General features: G+C 46.6%; 1 protein-coding gene across 3 annotated transcripts, besides 5 other annotated features; it reads left to right on the forward strand.

Moving 5' to 3' along the window:
* On the forward strand, nucleotides 177-16,339 carry TMEM98 (transmembrane protein 98). 3 transcript variants are annotated; one of them, NM_001301746.2, is made up of 9 exons: nucleotides 177-261; nucleotides 2,924-2,995; nucleotides 3,351-3,426; nucleotides 3,499-3,683; nucleotides 5,198-5,329; nucleotides 6,315-6,348; nucleotides 8,356-8,471; nucleotides 11,501-11,560; nucleotides 12,810-16,339. In NM_001301746.2, exons 4-9 carry the CDS (start codon nucleotides 3,553-3,555, stop codon nucleotides 13,015-13,017), a joined length of 681 nt encoding a protein of 226 aa, NP_001288675.1. In that variant the 5' UTR covers nucleotides 177-261; nucleotides 2,924-2,995; nucleotides 3,351-3,426; nucleotides 3,499-3,552; the 3' UTR covers nucleotides 13,018-16,339. The 3 variants fall into 3 exon arrangements, with proteins under 3 accessions (NP_001288675.1, NP_056359.2, NP_001028676.1); NM_015544.3 differs by lacking the exon at nucleotides 2,924-2,995; NM_001033504.2 differs by lacking the exons at nucleotides 2,924-2,995; nucleotides 3,351-3,426.
* Nucleotides 7,804-8,454: an enhancer, noted in NCBI's record as "H3K4me1 hESC enhancer chr17:31262798-31263448 (GRCh37/hg19 assembly coordinates)". NCBI's record gives its function as "activates a minimal SCP1, AML or CMV promoter by ChIP-STARR-seq in primed H9 embryonic stem cells {active_cell/tissue: H9 hESC(primed)}" and the evidence as "EXISTENCE:reporter gene assay evidence [ECO:0000049][PMID:30033119]".
* Nucleotides 8,410-8,597: a silencer, noted in NCBI's record as "fragment chr17:31263404-31263591 (GRCh37/hg19 assembly coordinates)". NCBI's record gives its function as "represses an EF-1alpha promoter that drives an FKBP-Casp9 reporter gene in an ReSE screen in phorbol 12-myristate 13-acetate-treated (for megakaryocytic differentiation) K562 erythroleukemia cells {active_cell/tissue: K562(+PMA)}" and the evidence as "EXISTENCE:reporter gene assay evidence [ECO:0000049][PMID:32094911]".
* Nucleotides 8,410-9,309: a biological region, named in NCBI's record as "Sharpr-MPRA regulatory region 812".
* Nucleotides 8,455-9,104: an enhancer, noted in NCBI's record as "H3K27ac-H3K4me1 hESC enhancer chr17:31263449-31264098 (GRCh37/hg19 assembly coordinates)". NCBI's record gives its function as "activates a minimal SCP1, AML or CMV promoter by ChIP-STARR-seq in naive and primed H9 embryonic stem cells {active_cell/tissue: H9 hESC(naive and primed)}" and the evidence as "EXISTENCE:reporter gene assay evidence [ECO:0000049][PMID:30033119]".
* Nucleotides 9,015-9,309: an enhancer, noted in NCBI's record as "tiled region #812; HepG2 Activating non-DNase unmatched - State 5:Enh". NCBI's record gives its function as "activates a minimal TATA promoter and a strong SV40 promoter by Sharpr-MPRA in HepG2 cells {active_cell/tissue: HepG2}" and the evidence as "EXISTENCE:reporter gene assay evidence [ECO:0000049][PMID:27701403]".

The following is a 23,128-nucleotide window of genomic DNA, read 5'->3' on the forward strand; positions in this document are numbered from 1 at the left end:
GGGGGCGCGAGGAAGGGGTGTTGGGTCGCCAGGGCCCGCCTCCCAGCTGCCCCGGCCGCCGGGGGGCCTGGCGGTGACGGCGGCGCCTGGCGGCGGGGATTTGGCGCGGGCCGGGGGCCGGGGGCCGGGGCGCGGGGGCGCGAGGCTGGATTCCTAGGGCCGCGGCGCTTCCCGGCATGCTCCGCTGCAGGCCCGCGCCCGCGCCCGGACTTTGCCATCGGCGGGGCAGTCGCGGGATGCGCCCGGGAGCCACAGCCTGAGGTGGGTGAGCCCCGCCGGGCCGGGCGGGCCGCGGCGAGTCGGGGAAGGGGACGCGGGGGCGCGGGGCCTGGCCCGGCTGCCGGGGAGAGGGGAGGCGGGTGCCGCAGCTTTGTTCTTGCCGCGGGGCCGCGCGCCCGAAGTTGGGGAAAGGAGTAGGAGCCGCGCCCCGGAGCGCTCCGGGGCCCGTGCGGCGCGTCCCGGGCGGGCTGGGGGTCCCTCCCTCCCGGGGACAGAGTGGGCGTCCTGGGTGGACGAGCACGGGGAAGCGGGTAGGGTCTTGGGTCTGTTCTGTCCTTGTGGTTCTGGAACCGGAGGGGAAGGGGGAAAGTAAGGGAGAGAGAAAGAGACGGAGAAAAACAGGAAAACTTACTCTTCAGTACGCAGGGAAGAATAGAGAAAGAAAAACACAAAGAAACGCCACGCAGACTGCAGAGAAGGACCACGAACACACGCTCCGAGAAACACACTCAGCTCACACGCACTGAGAAGCACACTTAAGATAAACACTCAGGTCACACACACAAGCACACTAAGAAACATTCAGTTCACACACACTCAGAAACACACGCACTCAGAAGCACACAAGATAAACACTCAGCTCACACACAGAAGCACACTCAGAAACATTCAGTTCACACACACTCAGAAACACACGCACTCAGAGGCACACAAGATAAACACTCAGCTCACACACAGAAGCACACTCAAACATTCAGTTCACACACACTCAGAAACACACTCCGAGAAACAGTTCACACTCGCTCAGAAGCACACTCAGCTCACACACACAAGCACACTCGGAGAAACATTCAGCTCACACACACTCAGAAACATACTCTGAGAAACACAATCAGCTCACACCCACTCAAGCACACTCAAGATAAACAGCTCACACAAGCACATTCAGAAAACACTCAGAAACATAGCTAACACTCAGAAACACACTCTGAGAAACACAGCTCACACACTCAGAAGCACACTCTGAGAAACAGCTCACACACACAGAAACAGAAAAACAGCTCACGCACACTAACACAAACACACACGGAGAAACACACTTAGAAGCACACTCAGCTCACACACACCCAGAGAAACACGATCAGAGAAACACTCAGAACGCACAGGAAGAGAGAGGAAACCAAGTGGGTGGTCTTGGAGGCCTGGGGACCGGGGGAGGGGAAGGAGAGACACTGAGAAGCGGGAGACGGGAGCAGCAGAGGGAAAGATGCCTGGAAAGAGAAACAGAGATAAAGGCAGACATAAGAGGAGGCAGAAAACACAAAGGCCAAAAGGAGGTGGTTAAAAGGACAGTAAAGAGAAACACACACGTAGAGAAACAGAGGCGGACCCTGAGAATTACCCCCCTCCCCCACCTACCTCTCACAAAATCAGCGACACACACAGAAGAGGCAGATGCCAGCCTTCTCCTTCTTGTGGTCCAGTGAGCTCGAGATGGGAGAGCAGCTCTGTGAGCCCTTTGAGAAAGGCTTCCTTGGCACTTTAAGCCAGGCATGTCCCAACCTTGTCTACCTGGCAAACTCCTGCTCATCCTTCAAAACCCAGCTCTAGCCTCACCACTCCTGTGAAAGTGTCAGTTCCCAGAAAGTGTCATGCAAGCACAGTTACTCTCTTTTCTGTGTTCTTCTGCAGGAAGCACAGGCACATGGAGTTGAAGTGGTTTGTCACCTGTCTGCCTCTCCCACCAACTCCTTAAGATCAGGGTCTCTGTCCTATCTATCTCCAATCTCCAGTGCATGATGCATAGTAGATGATCAATAAATACTTAGTGAATGGTGACCGAGAGCGTTTGGACCCTCCGAGACATGGAGGATAGAATTAAGTGCAAATAGAGGAAAAGCACCCTCCTGGTATTCTAAGGACTCCTAAGTCAGAGTGTCTTTTTTTCACGTGGGGAAATTAAAGCCCAGAGAGGGGAGAATGCTTGCACAAAGAGAGACAAGCAGGAGGCCTACAATGAAATAACAGTGAATATGTACTTCTGTGAGATGCCCTTGTTCTTCTGGCTTATGAGTTTAAAATAGGTGTGAAAGACCCCGTTCTTCAGTTCCTCTCTCCAGAGGCAGCTACTGTTATCAAGTTACATTTTATGTGTGTTTGTGCCTATCGATGTGTTCATACTAAAAAAATTCTGTGCACTAGTATATACAAATGCACGGACTTCTTTCATTCTTCTTTTGTACACAAATAAAAGAATTCTATGAGAAAAAGAAATAGATGTGAAACAGTCTCCTGAGTGAAAACTGGCAAGAGGCAATGGACACTTTAATGCCAGTTCTAAGTTTCCAACACTGAAACTGGCAATTAGAACTCTTTCCAGAACCTTTACAGTCTTCTTTCTTCCTTAGAAAGGAAAAGTAGAGTGAATGTCCATCTCAGTGTAAGTGGATGGCTTTCCATCTCCTGACTGCATATTGGAAAAATTCTGTAACCTCCCTGAACCTCAGTTTCCTCAACTGTAAAATGGGATTACTAATATGTCCACTTCATAAGATTGTTGTTGGAAAAGTTAACAAAGAACCTGGTGCAGAGTAGATCCTCAGTAAATACAGTTTCATCTTTCCTCTCTTTAATGGGTGTTCTTTTGTGCATGTTTTTATGGCTGCGAAAACAACTGCTAGTTAAAATGTTTCCTTTTGTCTAGGGTTTAAAAAGCTATTTTAAGGCCGGGCTCGGTGTCTCACGCGTGTAATCCCAGCACTTTGGGAGGCCCGAGGTGGGTGCATTACTTGAGGTCAGGAGTTCAAGACCAGCCTGGCCAACATGGTGAAACCCCGTCTCTACTAAAAATACAAAAAATTAGCCGGGTGTGGTGTCAGGCACCTGTAATCCTAGCTACTTGGGAGGCTGAGGCAGGAGAATCGCTTGAACCCAGGAGGCAGAGGTTGCAGTGAGCTGAGATCGTGCCATTGCACTCCAGCCTGGGTGACAGAGCTAGACTCCATCTTAAAAAAACAAACAAACACAAACAAACAAACAAAAAATTTTAGTCCAACTGGGGAGCAAATTCTTCTGAGAAAGGAAAAGGCAAATTTGGGGCATGGCATAAATTTTACCTTGGTTCTCTTCAGGCCCTCAGGTCTCTGCAGGTGTCGTGGAGGAACCTAGCACCTGCCATCCTCTTCCCCAATTTGCCACTTCCAGCAGGTAAGACCCACCTGTCCCACTCTCTTTCGTGGCTTCTTGACCAGATCTGCTCTGACTTCATGTTCTCTCAAGCTTTAGCCCATGAGGAGGATGTGACCGGGACTGAGTCAGGAGCCCTCTGGAAGCATGGAGACTGTGGTGATTGTTGCCATAGGTGTGCTGGCCACCATCTTTCTGGCTTCGTTTGCAGCCTTGGTGCTGGTTTGCAGGCAGCGCTACTGCCGGCCGCGAGACCTGCTGCAGCGCTATGATTCTAAGTGAGTGAGCCTATGGAGGGCAAGGAGGAGGGGTGGGCTCTAACTAAAGAAAAAGAGAGGAACACGTAGTTCAGTGTTGGGCAACTCTAACTCAGCTTTTTGGTTCTAAAATGGTACCTGCAGGTGTCCTTCCCTGTAAAGACCTCAGAGTTTAAGAATGTTCCTTAAGCCTCCCAACATCCTGAGTCACCTCCTTCTCTGCTTCCTGAGCCAAGAAGAAAGTCACTGAATATGAACATGTTCACCTAGCATAAAAGCTCAGCCATCTGTCTCAAACTGGCCACCTCACTTAGCATTTGGATAAGCCAAATCACTTTCCAGCCAGACCCACAGGAACAGAAATCAGATGCCCACACTCTGGCCATACATCTAAGCAACAAACATTTGGTTTTGTGAAATCCCAACTTAGGACTGTTTCTCTCTTTGCACAGCAGATTTTTTTTTTTTTTTTTTTTTTTGAGATAGAGTTTCACTCTCGTTGCCCAGGCTGGAGTGCAATGGTGCAATCTTGGCTCACTGCAACCTCCGCCTCCCGGGTTCAAGTGATTCTCCTGTCTCAGCCTCCCACGTAGCTGGGATTACAGGCATGCACCACCACGCCCAGCTAATTTTTGTATTTTTAGTAGAGACGGGGTTTCACCATGTTGGCCAGGCTGGTCTTGAACTCCTGACCTCAGGTGATCCACCCGCCTCAGCTTCCCAAAGTGCTGGGATTACAGGCATGAGCCACCATGCTTGGCCTGCCCAGCAGATTTCTTTGTGATGCATTGTATGTGAAATATATTTTGTAAGCAAGATTCTATTTTCAATTTAGGGATATTTTAATTGATAGACCGTTCAGGGATTAACCCTTAGTTTTTCTTATCCTTCTGTCTTAATCCTATCAGCATCTCTGTCAAGTGGTTCATAATTTATAAATGCCCATTTATATGACCCAGGAAAGCTCTTCTACTGAACAGAATGCCATGGTATCTCATTTTCTAAAGTACCCTGTTGTAAAATTGGAGGTGTTTTTACTTCTTTCACTTTTCCAGTGTAACTAGGAAAAGGCAGGGATATAGGGATGGACCAAAGTGGTTCACAAGAGTTATTCTGCAGACCAGGTGGGGAGCCTATGTAGGTTTGGGTAATAGGAACCACCGCCTCTCTGTAAAATGTAGGATTAAAGGGAAAATACATTATAGAAGGATATAATTTTGTCCTGAAGGGATATCCCTAACATCTTTGTAATCAGGTAGTTATACCCTACTCTTTCTCTTGGTAGCTTATCTGACTCCATTTCACTTTTCTTTTGTTTTAGTGCTCCCGGCCTGCCTCCCCAACTCCCTGTCTAGCCATGTGCCCTGCCCTCAGCTGCAGCCCCACTAGGCTTAGGTTTGGATCCGGGACAAGTGGTCTCTGCCCTAGCTTACTGACTCCCTTACTTCTTTTATGGTGTATGTGGGCCTCAGTGAGGAGAGGATCAGCAGCGGTCACCCACCATGAAACCATTTAACGGGGGCCTTTTCTTCCAGGCCCATTGTGGACCTCATTGGTGCCATGGAGACCCAGTCTGAGCCCTCTGAGTTAGAACTGGACGATGTCGTTATCACCAACCCCCACATTGAGGCCATTCTGGAGAATGAAGACTGGATCGAAGATGCCTCGTAAGGCCATGGGAACTGTTTGCTTCCGGGCTTCTGGCAAATGATGCCCTTTGCTGGTGTCCTTTGCCAGAGCACTTAGCTGGCATTCAAGAACAGTCACTCTGTTACTTGCTGCTCTTTCCTGTGCCTTTAGTGTGGGGGAAAATCAGAATATGACTTGAAAGTGTTTGTCCTTTCCTTCTCTCCCCACATTTTGTAGACCTGAACACTGCGGCCTATAGTTGTGTGGCAAAGGTTGTTATAAAGTCACCCTGGTGTGCTTTGGTTATCCTTGAGTGCCCATAAATTTGGCTCAGGCTTCAGAGATGCAGCCCTTTTCTTTAGGATCTCAGGGGTCTCTCCATCCAACAGGAGCCCCTACATTTTGAGAAGCGGCTGCTACTTCATTGCCTTATCCATTTAGCCATCCATTCCCTGGTCCCATGTTTGTGGGGCATTATGTGGAGGGTACTGGGTCAGGTGCTGCAGATATTGAAACGGTTGAAAAGACAGTTATAGTCAGTATCACAGAAACTGTAAGAGATCCTTGTGTACAGTGCAGTAGGCACATGGAGAAGGCAGTGTCTAGGTTTGCCTGGGTTGGGGAGGTTGAGCTGGATCTCATGGAAGATATCACAGAGGAGGTGCCTTTTGACTTGGGTCTTGAAAGATGAGGAGGAGTTCCCCAGTCTGAGCAAAGGGGAAGGACACATTGGGCAGAGGGAACAGTCTACCAGAAGCTTGAGAGTTATATTAAAGCATGACTCGCTAGGCACACAGTGGAGCTTGCTGGAAGAGTGGATTGGGTGCAGGGAGGGGAAGGGAAGGGAGGTGCTCCCTCCTTTAACTCATGGGCTGGTTCATGTTGACACTGAGGCATTCCCACTCTCAGTGGTTGGTATTGGGCTGTGCCCACCGGTCAGGGCAAGTTGAGAAGCAAGGGTGGGAGCTGGAGGGTGGTGGGCCCCTCCAGATGAGCACTGATGACTTCTTCTTGTTTCCCCAGGGGTCTCATGTCCCACTGCATTGCCATCTTGAAGGTAACCCTCTCTTATTTCTCTGTGGGATAAAGGGTAGTCGAAAAGCACCACTGTGCGTGGATGGAGTAGAACGGGACCTTAGAAAGGGCACTGACCTCTCGCAAGAGGCCTTTCCTTAACTTGACACTTGGAATTTTTGTGGTTTACTTCCCCCCCTGCCTGGACTGGCTGTTCACAGAATCTCAAGGCTGTTTCAAAGGCTTTATTTCATCTGGTCGTCTTAATTCAATGACCTGTGGGAAAGACAGCCTAGGTACACAGCCACCATTTCACTCCTCTTGGAGAAAGCTGTGTATTCCTGAGACCGTGTAGCTGCCAAGAGAAATGGGGTTTCCCTGCTTCCCCCTGCACACTCATTTTCACTAACAGAGAGTTCAGGCCTGTATGGTGAGTTTCTTTCTGTATTTGGATTTCTACTGTGACTAGAAAGTCATCACTAGCCTTCTTTGGCTGTGACCGTAGTCAGCCAAATGGGACAATCAGTGTTAAAAAACCAAAGCAGGCATACTTCAATCTGAAGGCAGAGGATTTTTTCTTTGAAAGCCTGGAATCTTTGAAAAATTGCATCCAATTTGCATTTTGGGTAATTTTATGGTTTTAGCATTTGTTTTCAATTCTTGCCTGTTAATATCCTACCTAATAGAATAATAACTATACTGAAATATTTGGCCAGTTGCAAATATCAGGGTTTTTTTTTTTACATCAGTAACCTGGGTAATCACACATTTATCTCTTTGACTAGTAATTATTCAAGATTTCAAAAGAGACAACTTTGTCTTTTCTTTAGTGTCATTCAGTAGAAGACACTATTAATAAAACATTCTTTACCCCACCTCTTCTTTGGCTGTCTCTCTCAGGGGATGGATAAATGCCTAGTAGGAAGTTATTATCTCAGAGTCCAGGCTTAGTTAATTCTGAGAGGCTCTTTGGATATACAAATATGGCTATAGATATAAATATGGTTATTGATAGAGCTAGGTAGGCATAATGGCTAGAAGATAATACTATACTACATTTCCCTTCTCCTGGCCAAGATGTGTCCTGGGCCTGGGTTTTGTCTCCTGTCCTCATCTATTAGGAGGATAAATGGCACCTGTGGTGTGAGATGAATCAGCTGGAGGGAGTCATATTGAATTGGAATCTGTGTCTACCCGGCGAACCTCTGATCAAAGGAGAGGGCTTCTAAGTCTCCTCTTGGGATCTTAAGACTCTTTTGCTAGGTCACCTGCCCTTGAGTCTCTGTGGTGGGAGCTGGGAGAGGGGTCTGGGCTAACTCCCAGGTGGACCTTTGGGCTTCTTTCTGCCCTCTACTGTCCAGCTCCAAGTATAGGTCAGGTAGGGGTGCTTCCTTGCCATGGATAGAGGCGCACCCATGTTGGTTGGTTCTAGCATGGGGTGGCCTGGAAAGGGGAAGCAAGCTCTGGGGTGGCCAGCTCTGTGGGTGGGACCACGAAGAAGGCTGTAGTCAGTCTTGCCTTTTCCCTGCTTTTCCTAAGGTCCTTTCATCATCAGCTTGATAAACATGCTAATATATTACCTGAGACAATTGTTGAAATAAGTGCTGTTATTGGAGCATGTGCTTAAAGGGAACAATTGCCCTTTGTTCAGCCCCATTCCTGAGGGTGCCTTGTTGGAGATATTTATTCTTGTGGAAGACTAAACCATGAGATGAAGGAATAGAAAAAGAAAGTAGGTTTTTCCCCTAAGTGAGAAGGTGAAATTGGAGCACATGATTTTTCTTAAGACAGATTATTTCAGCTTAGGCTTCCCAGAGCCCACACCCTGCCCTTGATCTGCGGCTCCCACCCCAGGTCCTCTCCCAGCCATGCCCTTGGCTTTTGCCACTTCCCACCCGTTTCCTCTCATCTCTGTACTTTTCACATCTGGCCATTAGGTTGGGGGCCAGCTGCGATGGAACTCACGGCAGGGCTGATTTGTCTCGTGGGGGTGGCGAGGCCCTGAGTGGAGCCAGGTCAGCCCTCATCTCTCTCCTCCCTGCCGCATTAGATTTGTCACACTCTGACAGAGAAGCTTGTTGCCATGACAATGGGCTCTGGGGCCAAGATGAAGACTTCAGCCAGTGTCAGCGACATCATTGTGGTGGCCAAGCGGATCAGCCCCAGGTGAGCAATTGGCGGCTTCGAGGTCCCCACACTCCCTGAGGGAAGAGAGGGGCTGGAAGCTGGGGTAGCCGCAGAGCTGGGCTCTTCTATAAAATGGTGCACAGGCAACTTCAGCTATTTGTTTCCCACACATTTACAGAGTGACCAGGAGGGTTTAGATACCGAGACTTCTCAGCTAAGGTGGGCTTCCACCATCCCCACCTGCAGCATGACCCATCTGAGAGGGCTTTGGGGAAGCGCCAGCAGGTGCCTAGTCCTGACCCTGTCCTAGACCCTGCCCTGCAGAGCCCGTGGCCGCCCCTCTTACCCAGCCACATACCAGCTCCCCTTGACACGCCTTCCTCCCAGGCCAACATGTCACACAGATGCCCACACCCCTGTCTCTGCCTGAATCTGTGTTGGAGACTAGCTTGGGGGACCCACTCTGGCTGTGCCCACTGCTCCATCCCTGGCCCAGGCCAGCAGCCTCCAGCACTGGGTGGGAGCTGAAGCCATATGGCATTCAACCTCCCAGATTCCAGGCTAACTGCGAAATCCCGTGTGGGAGGCAACCAGCAGGATTGCAGTCAACAGCTACACCCCCTCATTTGGGCTTGATATCGTGAGGAAAAATAAAGCCCTTTTCTTAGAGCCAAGGGCTGTACTAAGTTTGTGCTGCCACCTGGTGGCTGGTATGCCGACGTGCCTGAGCAGAGGGTCGGGGCCAGGATGTTTTCCACGTCAGCCACCTGGCCCCTCCGCCCACCCGGGAGGGCACCTCTGTATGCCTGCTGAAACAATGGCACTGCTGTGAGTTCCAGGGGCCCACACGTTCCTTGTTGCCATGGCCCCAGGTAAATCACGAGGAACCAGCCCTTTCTCTGCCTCAAGATTAACCAAATAAAAACGACCAGTTTCCTGAGTTGCCACGTGAGTTCCTCTGAGGGAATACACGACCTGGTCAGCTTGAACTCAGTCCAGGCAGTTCAGTGAGTTGAGAGAGTGGGAGGGAGATAATCCAGGGAGGGACTCAGCTGAGAACAGTTCCCTGCCTTCTCTGGAATTGCCTCCAGTGGGCTGTAGCCACATGGTCAGCCCCTGGCTTTATAAGAACCCACATCCCAGGCTCTGGGTGGGCACTGGGCATTCCTTCCCCATTATTTTATTTATTTATTTATTTTTGAGATGGAATCTTGCTCTGTCACCCAGGCTGGAGTGCGGTGGTGCGATCTTGGCTCACTACAACCCCCACCTACCGGGTTCAAGCGATTCTCCTGCCTCAGCCCCCTGAGTAGCTGTGATTACAGGTGCCTGCTACCATGTCTGGCTAATTTTTGTATTTTTAGTAGAGATGGGGTTTCACCATGTTGGCCAGGCTGATCTCAAACTCCTGACCTCAGGTGATCCTCCTGCCTCAGCCTCCCACAGTGCTGGGATTATAGGTGTGAGCCACCACACCCGGCCTCCTTCCCCATTAGTTTTAAAGATTCTGCACTATGGTATTCACTAGACCCTTTGTCATGCTTTTTGTGCCTTCTAAGAGCCACTTAGAGGCCAGGCAGATTCCTGTGATACAGGTTACAAGGCAGCACTTTCAGGAGGTTGAGGTTTCTGTGTGAGCCTGGGTGAGTAGGATCAGCACGGGTCCTAAGATGAGGGTGTGGCATTGTCCAGAGAGTGGACCTGTTCTGGTGCTCACAGGCCCATCCTAAAGAGTACCTTGGACTACTTCTAGAATGCTCCGTGCCATAATTCAGCCAGGGTCCTGCTTTGTCCTTTTGCCCTCACACTTCTTTCTCCTTCTGGCCATGTTTTGTCCCCATTGTTTTTCCTGCTCCATTTATCCCACACAGTGTGTTGATGGCCTGTGAGTCTCGAGGAGGTGGCTTCAGCTCCAGGGCACTAGAGAAAGGAGCTGGCTGAGATAGGCGCGGAGGGTGACTGTGTCTCTGCATGTCCTCACCGGCTCCACAGCCGTGAATAAGAGTGTTTGAGGCCATCTTTTTTTCAAGTGCTTTTAGAAATCAAACAATACATCTTTATTTTTTCTTCCTATCGAGTGTTCATGAGCAAAGATTTGGAGCAAAACCTTGTGCCACGCAAATCAGAATGAATTGTAGTTCTGAACTTGATTTAAAAAAATTAACCACAGGGTAGAAGAAATCCAGTAGAGCAGTGTGAAGCCAAATGAAACTCATGGCCTTCTTTTTCGGTGTCTTACATACCTTTAGCTTTGTATTTTTTTTTCCTGAATACAAGAGTAATTAATGCTTATAAAAATGTGAAATACTGCAGACATACATGACCTGGAAAGTCTACTCCCTCCCAATTGTAGGAAAAAACCACTATTAAGTGGTGAGTGTTCCTCCAGATCCTTCCCAACCCCACATTTCAGAGCTTTTGTTTATCTATTTTTATGCAAATGACAGATTGAGCTTTACATATTATTTGGCAATTTGCCTTTTTAATATAGTAGTAATCTTGAACATCATTCCATATGTATGACTGTATTTTAAAAAACCATTGGAACTGAAACAAAACTAGAAAACAAAGTAGTCTCTGCAAAGACTGAACCTGAAGTCTTTGTGCCTAAGTGTCTGTCTGAGAATGCAGAAGCAATTGGAGAAAGAACCATTAAAGACCAGGTCTGGAATACCAAAAAAGAAGAACTGGAATAAAGATAGAAAGGAAGGAAGGGGCCAGGCGTGTGGCTCACGTGCCTGTAATCCCAGCACTATGGAAGGCTGAGGTGGGTGGATCACCTGAGGTCAGGAGTTCAAGGCTAGCCTGGCCAACATGGTGAAACCCCGTCTCTACTAAAAATACAAAAATTAGCTGGGCATGGTGGCGCGTGCCTGTAATCCCAGCTACTTGGGAAGCTGAGGCAGGAGAATCACTTGAGCCTGGGAGGTGGATGTTGCAGTGAGCTGAGATAGCACCACTGCACTCCAGCCTGGGTGACAGAGCGAGACTCTGTCTCAGGAAAAAAAAAAAAAGGAGAAAAGGAGATCAGGAAAGTGAAGTACTGAACACCTTTTGCCTCCGGTCAGGGTGGATGATGTTGTGAAGTCGATGTACCCTCCGTTGGACCCCAAACTCCTGGACGCACGGTGAGACCAGGGGTGGGTGCATGTTCGGTTTTTCATGCAGAGGTCCACAACCGTTTTATCAGATCTGTGAGGCTGGCTGACTGGCTTGTGTAGGGAGGGTGGCTTTGCAGCCTCCTTAGGCTGCCCGGGCCATGCGTGCCATTTACTTCAGTGAGCGGCGCCTGACTGGGTGATAGAGGCCAGTCCTCTCCTGAAACCCAGGAGAAGAAAGAGGCAGTCTTAGATTTTAAATTGTTATGATTAGACTTCCGGCCATGTTACATCCTAACTGTGCCTTCCCTTCTACCTTTTCCCCTTTCCCCCTCTGATTTTTGTACCCCAGAAGCAGACATGCCTTAGCTGTGAGTGCCACCCAGTTGGGCGGTGGGGCAGTGGTTCCCAGAGCAGTGAGAATGGAGGTGACAGGTCAGCCACAGCTGTGCTCACCTGCCACCAGACATGCGCATACACAGAGTGTACTTAGCCCTATGAAATTGTTATGTTCCTATACCAGATGCAACCCATTTAAGAAATATAGATTCTTTCGTGCCTTGGATTTATATGACTGTGTCATACACATGTAACAGTTGCCAGATCGGCAGTGGGTCACAGCGCTTCAGCTTTGGTTTCTCTGCCCCACTCCTACTGCTGCCGAGCTTTGTCCGTGGGTTAATAATCTGTAATGTATTCTCAAATGCATCATGGTACTAACCATATAAAAGGTATTCTACAGTGAATCTTTCAGCACTGAAAAATCTACTCCTCACTTTGGTTTTCAGTTACATTTTTTTTTTTGAGTTGGATAAACCAGCCCTGGGCCTTACCAATTTGTAATCAATAAGGAATGTTTAAGTGAGGGTGTGTCTGTCCTATGTTTCAGTGGGCAGCGGTTGGGGAATATGCTCATCTGATTGACTATATCTGAACTGTTTCACAAAGCGCTCTTTGGGGAGATGTTAATAGGTGTGCTGCAGAAAATGGCTTCCACAGTCTTAAATAAGCTTGTGAGAGACAGCCTGTTATATTCTCCTTGGAGCTTTACCAGGTACATCTCAGAAGGCTCTGAGGCAGGCTTCAGTTAACCATGTTTAACCCAGCCATCTCCAAATTTATTTGAGCATGGAGCCAACTTTAAATTGCATACCTACCAACATCCTAGGGAAGGGTGTGCAGTTTGGGGAATACTAGTCAAAAAGTCTATCTATTTGGGCTTTTGTGCAAAGTCCCTCATTTCCTAGGAAACCTGACCCTATTTTCTTTTTTTCCCTAGGACGACTGCCCTGCTCCTGTCTGTCAGTCACCTGGTGCTGGTGACAAGGAATGCCTGCCATCTGACGGGAGGCCTGGACTGGATTGACCAGTCTCTGTCGGCTGCTGAGGAGCATTTGGAAGTCCTTCGAGAAGCAGCCCTAGCTTCTGAGCCAGATAAAGGCCTCCCAGGCCCTGAAGGCTTCCTGCAGGAGCAGTCTGCAATTTAGTGCCTACAGGCCAGCAGCTAGCCATGAAGGCCCCTGCCGCCATCCCTGGATGGCTCAGCTTAGCCTTCTACTTTTTCCTATAGAGTTAGTTGTTCTCCACGGCTGGAGAGTTCAGCTGTGTGTGCATAGTAAAGCAGGAGATCCCCGTCAGTTTATGCCTCTTTTGCAGTTGCAAACTGTGGCTGGTGAGTGGCAGTCTAATACTACAGTTAGGGGAGATGCCATTCACTCTCTGCAAGAGGAGTATTGAAAACTGGTGGACTGTCAGCTTTATTTAGCTCACCTAGTGTTTTCAAGAAAATTGAGCCACCGTCTAAGAAATCAAGAGGTTTCACATTAAAATTAGAATTTCTGGCCTCTCTCGATCGGTCAGAATGTGTGGCAATTCTGATCTGCATTTTCAGAAGAGGACAATCAATTGAAACTAAGTAGGGGTTTCTTCTTTTGGCAAGACTTGTACTCTCTCACCTGGCCTGTTTCATTTATTTGTATTATCTGCCTGGTCCCTGAGGCGTCTGGGTCTCTCCTCTCCCTTGCAGGTTTGGGTTTGAAGCTGAGGAACTACAAAGTTGATGATTTCTTTTTTATCTTTATGCCTGCAATTTTACCTAGCTACCACTAGGTGGATAGTAAATTTATACTTATGTTTCCCTCAAGTGTGTAGTTATTGAGTCAAATTCATATGCATGGTGTATTGTGGGACATACTTAGATGGAAGGAGAGAGCCTAAGAATCCTGAGGATGATTTCTGTGTATGCCTCAAAATGAGATATTTAGGCTGGGCGCGGTGGCTCACACCTGTAATCCTCGCACTTTGGGAGGCTAAGGTGGGTGGATTGCTTGAGCCCAGGAGTTTGAGACCAGCCTGGGCAACATGGTGAAACCTCATCTCTACACAAACTACAAAAATTAGCTGGGCATGGTGACACGTGCGGCTGCTTGGTAGGCTGAGGTGGGAGGATCGCTTGAGCCCAGGAGGTGAAGGTTGCAGTGAGCCCTGATTGTGCCACTGCATTCCAGCCTGGGCGACAGAGTGAGACCATGTCTCCAAAACATACATATATATAAAATATATTTAAAGACCTCTTGGAGTTCAGGCAGAAGTGAAGATAGCACTATGAAGTAGTTTCCACATTAACAATAGCAATGACTTGAACGATGTGTTCCCCCTTTCTTCTGATATTAATATCTGTTCATTTTGCAAACATTGAAAGATTATGAAAGCTATGACCCAGAATCACAATTATATAATTTGGATACATACCCAAATGGCATAATTTCTGTCATAAGCCTGTAGGAAAAGCTTGAATTCTTCACTTCTCAGATTCTCAGAGCCAGCTTGCTCTTGGGAGAGGGGCCTGGTATAGGGGCTGCCCAGGTTCGTAGCCTATGCTGTCAAGCATGTTTGGAGTTGCACATCTGTTCCCATGTCATTTTCTCTGTCTAACTGAAGTCAGAAAATTCCTCAGCTGGATTCTGGGGAACCAGGAACCCATATTCCCAAATCCAAGATTGGGACCTGGTTTGTCTTTCCATTTGGGCACATTTCATTCTTTCCAGGAAAACAGGCCACTTCCAACCTGCACAATGTACACCAAACCACAGAACCACAGCTGGGATATGGAGTCAGGAGAGGGAAGCTGGAGCTCAACTCTCATGGACTAAAGGATGGATTCTGGATGGGCTCCAGGGGACACCTTATTGGATTGGTGGCTTCCATCAACTCTTAAAAACGTTAAGTGGTGAACTTTCCCGTCCTGTCAAGCTGTGAATGGGGAATGTATACAAAGTCACTTTGACTTTTCTATTTGAGGCCTCCACAGTAAACATCCAGAGTCATCCTATTTTTGTCTTTTTACCTCCCTTTCAGAACCTGTTTTCGTAATTAGACTGGAAAGCAATTCATGCTAAGTTTGCAATGGCTGCCACAGTTGTAAGTGTCCCCTGCATTTTAACCTGCACTAGAGCCCTAAGCCACAGAGAAGCAGTTCTGAATTGGTATCTCAAATACCATCCACCTGGTGTGGGTCTGCAGGGTGGAGAGCTTTCCCAGCACCCCTGAAGCAATGCCCAATGTCGATTACCTTCTCTGAGTCCTGGCAAGTCCTGGCACATTGGCTTTCTGGATCCCTTAGATGCTGCCCTTTCTGTTGTGAGGAGAGGTTGCCGAAGATATTGGAGGTGTCTGCTGGACTGTAGGATTTCTGATCCCACTGCTGTGTAGTTTTTTTTTCTAGTGCTGGACAAGTAAGAAGCCTCTGGATAAATTTGGTGTTGGTGGCTGATGGTTGAAGTGGAAGCAGTCTTTGGGGTAGGAGGCAATGCCACTCCTCTAGGCCCTTCGGGAGTTGGCTGAAGTTACTTCCTCCCTTGGAAGGGGCTGGTTAGTGAGTGCCAGGGATCTCAGGACTGTCTCTGTGCCAGGTGTGGTTTCCCAGGCAACAGACACATTCCTAAGTGCCTAGTTCTCTAGCGTCTGTATACATGGTAGTAGAGCCTTCCTTCCATGTCTCTCTTCCCTCTGGCCTGGAATAGGAGCATTAGACTCAAATTCTGATGAAAAAGAAATTACTTGGAGATAGAGATTCAATGTGAAGAGAACAAGATATTTGAAGTCAGAATTAGGTTTGAATTTGGGCTCAGTGACTTACAGTGTGAGCTTGGTCAAGTTCTTAACATTCTGGTCCTTAGCATTCTCATCTGTATGGTCAAGGCTATTGTCATTGGGTTGGTATGTCAACAAGCAAAACGGTATGTGTGAGCTGCCCAATTGTGGGCCTGGTTCTGATTAGCCAATGTTAACACCCTTCTCTCCACAGCTTCCCATTCTCTGATGCCGCTGACCCAGATGGCGTCACCTCAGTTACCATGGCTTGGTCCAAGCAGTGACTTCTGTTCATGGGCTCTGGAATTGAGTGGCCAAAAATCTGGAATCCCTACAGTAGGGAGAGTAGCCTTGTCCCTGCCCCACTACAAGTCTGTTCATATGAAGACATACAAAGCCGTCGCCTCTAATCAGTGTTCAAAGGGTCGATTGTGCAACTCACATTCCTCCAGAGAAATTCCCCCAGCTTGTGAGATCTCCAAGAGGGAACACGTATTCCTGGCATCCAACTTCCCCTGGTGCTCCCCCTGACCTGCCTCATTCCAGGAGTTCCCTCTCCAGAGACCCTGTGTGCCCACACGAGCAGACTTTTAGAAAATGGCCTACAGTTCAAAGGCCCTGCATTGCTTTATGGCCTTGGAAATGTGGGGAAAGTGTCAGATGAAGAATTTCTATCCTCCTCACCTCCTCCCTGTCTCCAATAAATGCATACCAAGAGCTTTCTGTGGAAGAGGGTTCGTGCTAGATGCTGGAGCTATGAAACAAAAGGCACAATCCCTGCCCTTAAGGAGCGATAGAGAAATGAGCAACTGCTGGAGCCATGACTGTAGCCAGTGCTGTGATGGAGGGGACCACAAGAGGGACTGTGGGCACACAGAGAAGGGACAGGGCAGGGGTGGGGTTGAAATAGGGCAGAGCTGCTGCCTGAATGGAGACTTGACAAAGAAGGAGTCAGGCATCAGAACAGAAAATGGTCCCAGCTACTCAGGTGGCAGGGGCAGGAGGATCGCTTGAGCCTGGGTTGGGTGGAGGCTGCAGTGAATCTTGATAGAGCCACTGCACTCTAGCTTGGGCAACAGAGCAAGACCCTGTCTCAAAACACACACATGTACACACACACAGAAAGTGCCGGGGGAAATAATATGGTTGTGCTGTGTTTGTTCTGGTGGGTCTTACTGTGTTTCTATGAGAAAGGCTGATGAGCAATTTTCAGAATTTGAGGCAAAACTGGTTCTTCCTGTTTCATCCTATTTGTATTTTTATTATCCCAATTTTGCAGGTAAGGAGACCAAAGCAGAAAGATCAGTAACCCTCCTGGAGTCTCACAATTAATATGAATCAGAGCAGGATCTTCAACTCCTCAACTTGTGTTTTTAACTGGCACATCTTCCTGCCTGGGTGCAGCAGGTGGGAAATCCATCATGGAAAGGAAAGAACAGACATGAGAGTCATTCCATTCTCTTCCAGTTCAAATCTTTTTTTGTGAAAAAAATGGTAGTTGTGACCCATGAATTAATTTCACGGCCCACTAATTGGTTACAACCCACAGGATGATAGAACATAGGTACTAAAATGAGGGCTGGGGCATGGGTGAGGTATTTCCTCTCCTTCCAAAATGACTTAATTTTATCCATTTAAAATAAAATTTGCATTTACCAGAATAGTGGCAAAAATTTATTGTGCAGAATAGAATAATTGATTTATTACATGAATGATTAGTTCAAGAGTCATCTGTTGAGCATCTGCACTGGATTAGGCCCAGAGATGCATGAATGAATAAAAAGATAATGCCTCTCTTGAGGTGCATATAATCTAAGGTGGAAAGAAAACCATAAAGAGGCATTTTCAATACAGTGTGGTAAGGGCTAAGGGAGGGAATGTGTGTGTGATGACAGCGCAGAGCAGGACCACCAAACCCAGGTCATGAGAGTTTCCTAAAGGTGGTTACATCTCAGAATAGTCTGTCGAGGAGTAGGTGTTAGGAGAAGACAGGGTGGGGTTGGGAAGGTGGAAGTGGAGGACAGAGCATCCAGGTAGGGCCATCTTGCAGACATGACATTCCATGCCATGCTCAGGACATGTTAGCTGCTTCAGTACTGTGAGTGTCAGGTGGGAGCTGTGGCATGGTAGGAGGTAAGCCTGGGGAAGAAGGTGAGGATGAGACTCTGGAGAGTCTCATAGGCCTTGCTGAGGTCTTTGGACTTTTTCTCTAGGTGATAGGGGGCAATTGAATGTTGAAAATTGTTTTCTTATTTTTTTTCCTGGGGCATTAGCAATTGATCACTGCACCCTCACCAGCCTTTAATGTTTTCCTAATTTGATAGGTGAACAATGGCCTAGCATTGTGTTAATTTGCATTTCCCTGACTACTGGTGCAGTTAGACATTTTTTTTTCAGGTGTTTATTAGCTATTTGTACATATTCATGCCCTTTGCCCATTTTTCTACTGGGATTTTAGTATTCTTATTGACTTATATGAGCTCTTTATATATTAAATATAACAACCCTTTGTCATATTTATTGCATATATTTTCACCCAGCTTTGTCATTTGCTTTTTAGTTTTGTTTACAATGGTTTCTGATGTCCAGAAGTTTCAAATTTTGTGTAGTCAAATTTATTGATTTTCTTTTTGTTAGTTATTCCTTCCATTGCTTTTATACTTTCTTATCTAGAGATCAAATAAATATTGAGAGCTGGAGCTATGGAACAAAAGGCACATAATAATATTCACATGTTAGGTGTAGTGGCAGAAAAAAACAACAGGGTAGAAAAAACCCAAACCTTCCTTTATCCACCCCAAATCCACCCCAATCCACCCAAATCCTGTGGGAACAGTCACAGGTCAAAGAAATAGACAAGAATGGTGAGGAGAGGAAGGGAACACCTTGAAGGACGAGTAGGAGCTGGTCAGGCATACAGGGTGTGTGGGAGTAGCACAGAAAGGAAGCTGCATGTCCCAAGGTAGAGGATGAAGAGACAAGCATGTCTGAGTGCGGGGGATGCAGGGCAGAGAAAAGCCACACAATTTCTGCTCTCATGAGATTGTAGTCTGGTGAGGAAAGACATACATTAAACAAAATGTTGCTTAAATAAATGTAAAATGAAAACTTTAAAAGTGTTGTAAGAAAATAATTTGAATCTTATGAGAGATTATAAGGGAAACTGATCTATCTAGATGTCAAGGAAGGCTTCCAGTAAGAGGATCTTTGATATACTATCTGGAGGATAAGTAGGAGTCCAGAGGTGAAGAAGTGGATGTATGAGAAACTGTACATGTAAAGGCCCTTTGGCAGAAGGACAAGAACTGAGACCAGGCCAGTGTGACTGAAGAGCAGAGCAGACAGGGAAGAAGGCCAGGTGAAAATGGGGGAGGGACTGAATCATGCCAGACATTGCAGGCCATGTGAAGGACTTTGGTCTTTCTCTGAAGAGTGATGAGAACCCATTCAAATGGTTTATTCAGATCTGGTGGGTTTTGATTAGAGGTGGAGACATAATCAGATTTGTATTTTGAGAAGATCCTTTTGCCTTCTACGTGGAGAACCAATAGGAGGAGGCTGGAGCAGATAGGAGCTGCCTGATGCTGCTGCAGCAGTCTAGGTGAGAGATGATGGTAGCTTGGTCTAGGCAGGGAGAGGAAGATGGAAAGGGGAGTGGAGCATTTGAGAAATGTTTAGGAAGTAAAATAAATAGAATTTGGGTGGATTGGATATGGGACAGTGATGCAAGATAATAGCGTGCCAAGAAAGACTCCTAGGTTTCAAGTTTGCACACTTATATGGGGGTGACAGTTTGGGGCTAGGGGTCACTGGTACAGGAAGCACCAGAAGAGGATCAGGTTTGGGGACGAGTTTAAAGTCATCCGTTTTGGAGTTGAAGAGTTTGCGGTGCATTTGAGATATCTGAGTTGAGTTAGAGATATAATGGTTGGAGCTCAGAAAAGACTGGGCTGAAGGCTTTTCATTAAGTTATTAAGAGAGTTTTGGCCATGGGTGCAATCCTAGGGAGAGAGTGTGGAGTGAAAATTGCAGAGGGGTGTGAGATACTCTTAACATCGAATATGATACTGGGCCAGTTCAAAGCTCTGTACTGTTATGTTGATGGCTAAATGAAATTGCATATGCCCAGTTCCTGGCACACAGTAGGCACTCAGTAAATATTAAATATATCTCCTTTTTCTCCTTTGTTTCTCTGCTCCCTTTATTCTATTTCTCTCTCTTTTCTGGCTCTATGTATTACAGCCAGAGACTCAAGCTGACTTCTTTCAACTTCCCCAGGGTACCTAGTGCACAAACCTGGCATACATCGCTCTCCTCCAAGACCCAGCCTGGGAGAGCCTACCTCTTGAGAGCTGTCTCAAGCTGAAGTAAGTTTAGTTACCAATGATCAGTGCTCAGAGAGCCAGTTTTTTTTTTTCCTTCCCTTCCTTCCTTCCTTCCTTCCTTCCTTCCTTCCTTCCTTCCTTCCTTCCTTCCTTCCTTCCTTCCTTTCATTTGTTCTTTTTTCTAGATGGGATCTCACTCTGTTACCCAGGCTAGAGTGCAGTGGCATGATCTCTCAGCTCACTGCAACCTCCGCCTCCTGGGCTCAATCAATCCTCCCACCTCAGCCTCCTGTGTAACTGGGACTACAGGTGCATGCCACCACACCTGGCTAATTTCTGTATTTTTTTTTGTAGATATGGGGTTTTACCATGTTGCCCAGGCTGGTCTCAAACTCCTGAGCTCAAGCGATCTGCCCACCTTGGCTTCCCAAAGTGCTGGGATTACAGGCATGAGCCACTGCCCCTGTCCGAGAGCTAATTTTCTTAGGACACACAGCAACTTCTACTGGATGATCGCACCTTAGAATGATAATTATGTCACCTTGCATTTCCAGAACATTTTGTATTTTTTCAGAGAGTTTTCACAGTGATTATCTCAGTTGTTCATCAAAGGATTTTTCATTATGAACTGCATTTGCGTATTTTATTTACCTATAATCCTTTCCCCGCTGCTGAAACAATAGCATTCTGAGCAAACATGCATATGGCTAACAAATCCACTCTTATTCATAAGATTTCTTTTTCTTGTTTTCCCATTTTATTTTTAAATCATGATTTTTATCTTCCAGGCCATATTCTTTCACACATTTTTGTTATTCTCAAACTCATGATTTCATTCTTTCTCTTCTGATTTGGCACGTGCCCTCTTCATCTCCTCTCACCGACGAGGGTTCTGGCCCCTAACGCCCATTGTTCCAGTACATTCAGAGACTCACGTTTCTGACTCCTCTCCACCTCATTCCTCTCTGAGGCAAGTGCTGTTTATTCTGCATTGAAGCTTCATATTACCTTTAACTAGAGATTTGTTATGCAAGACAACCTCATGATCGTGCAGCCTCATGCAGATTTTTCCTTTGCCCTGGCATCTTGAAGATTCTTTTTTGCTTCTCAAATCACATCTTTTTTTCCCATTCTTCATGACACTTTCCTGATTTCCCTTTCTGTATTCTTGATCTTTATCTTCTGCTATCTGAATTCATCATCTCAGCAAACATGTGTCAAGCAACTACTATGAACCAGGCTCTGTGCTGGGCTCTGGGGATTCAAAAACCCATGACCTGATCTTGACCTTGAAGTATTCACAGCCTGCAACAGTGGGTCTCAGACCTGGTGGCACGTTTGAATCGCCGTCTGAAGAACTTTAAAAAAATACTAATTGCGAAGTCCTAGCCATAGAGATTCTGGTTTAATTGGTATTGAGTGAGACCCTGGCATTGTTATTTTTAAACAGATTCTAATGTGCACCCAGGGATAAGAACCACTCACTAGTCTAATGGATGAAACAGATGTGGAGACAAATGATTTTAATACAATGTGAAGGCAGAAGTAAGCACAGAGGGCAGGAGGAGAACAGAAGAGAAACCCGGGATCCAGCTTAGGAAGTGAGAAAGCCGGGCAGGTTACCCAGAGTGGATGACTCAGTGCCCCGTCTCATCCCAGAAGAACTTTTTGCAGAGCCCACCTTTCCTCCCATTTTCCAATCAAATAGGAGAAATGAAAGTATCTCCTAGAGTTACCTTTTATCTTTTTTTTCCCCCAGATGCAGTGTTTATTGTTTGATTTGTAGTGCTTATTGTTTTTGGAGTTTAAATTCTCCCTGCATGTCTGATTTCAGGGTACCAACATGATGCCATTGAACATGGGACGTGATGTGCATAATCAGCTCTTGGGAACCTTCAGGTGTGGGCTACAGCACCTCACTGGACCGCTGGGTTCCTAGTAGAGTGGAGGAAGTGTTCACTTAGCCACAACTTTGCTTCACCCTGGAGGCCAACTGAGGCATGTTAGTATACCCTCTCCCTGTAGTTCTGGAGTGAGGACATTGGAAAGCTAAACAGTGGTGCTTGATTCAAGGTGCTTGATCTAATTTCTGTGGCCTTTGTCTGAAGAGGGAGGAATAAGAACGTGTCAACCTGGAATTCCCAGACTGGCTGATTGGGTCACATTTGGAAAGCTGCTGTGTGCACATCTGATTATCCTGCACCTAGGACTATGATTCATTTCTTCTTTCTCAGAACGTGTATCAGTTTGTTATATTGATTAGCCTGATTGTCTGAATAGTGTCTTTCTGTGTCAAATCTATGAAAGTTTGAACCCTATATGCTTTTGCTGAATACTGTATTTCCAATACCTAGTAATTATACCTAGACTGACACATAGTGGGAATTTTTTTCTTCAAGTTTAAGTGAAAATTTATTTATTTTTTTAAATCTCCAAAAGCTTCCCATTGTTTATTATTATTTTTATTTTATTTATTTATTTTTTAATTTTTAAATTTTTTTATTATTATACTTTAAGTTCTAGGGTACATGTGCACAACGTGCACGTTTGTTACATATGTGTACACGTGCCATGTTGGTGTGCTGCACCCATTAACTCGTCATTTACATTAGGTATATCTCCTAATGCTATCCCTCCCCCCTCCCCCCACCCCACGACAGGCCCCGGTGTGTGATGTTCCCCTTCCTGTGTCCAGGTGTTCTCATGGTTCAATTCCCACCTATGAGTGAGAACATGCGGTGTTTGGTTTTTTGTCCTTGCAATAGTTTGCTGAGAATGATGGTTTCCAGCTTCATCCATGTCCCTACAAAGGACATGAACTCACCCTTTTTTATGGCTGCATGGTATTCCATGGTGTACATGTGTCACATTTTCTTTATCCAGTCTATCGTTGATGGACATTTGGGTTGGTTCCAAGTCTTTGCTATTGTGAATAGTGCCGCAATAAACATACGTGTGCATGTGTCTTTATTAGCAGCATGATTTATAATCCTTTGGGTATATACCCAGTAATGGGATGGCTGGGTCAAATGGTATTACCTTTTATCTTAAGGAATAGAAGAGCGATTATGAGCATAGGCCTGGGATGCAAGAAACACATTCAAATCCCAGCTCTGCCACTTACTGTGTGGCCTTACACAAAATCGTGTGTGTGTGTGTCTGTGTGTATGTGTGAATTGAC

This window comes from Homo sapiens, chromosome 17 (genome assembly GCF_000001405.40).
Source record: "Homo sapiens chromosome 17, GRCh38.p14 Primary Assembly".
In the NCBI taxonomy this organism is placed as follows: Eukaryota; Metazoa; Chordata; class Mammalia; order Primates; family Hominidae; genus Homo; species Homo sapiens.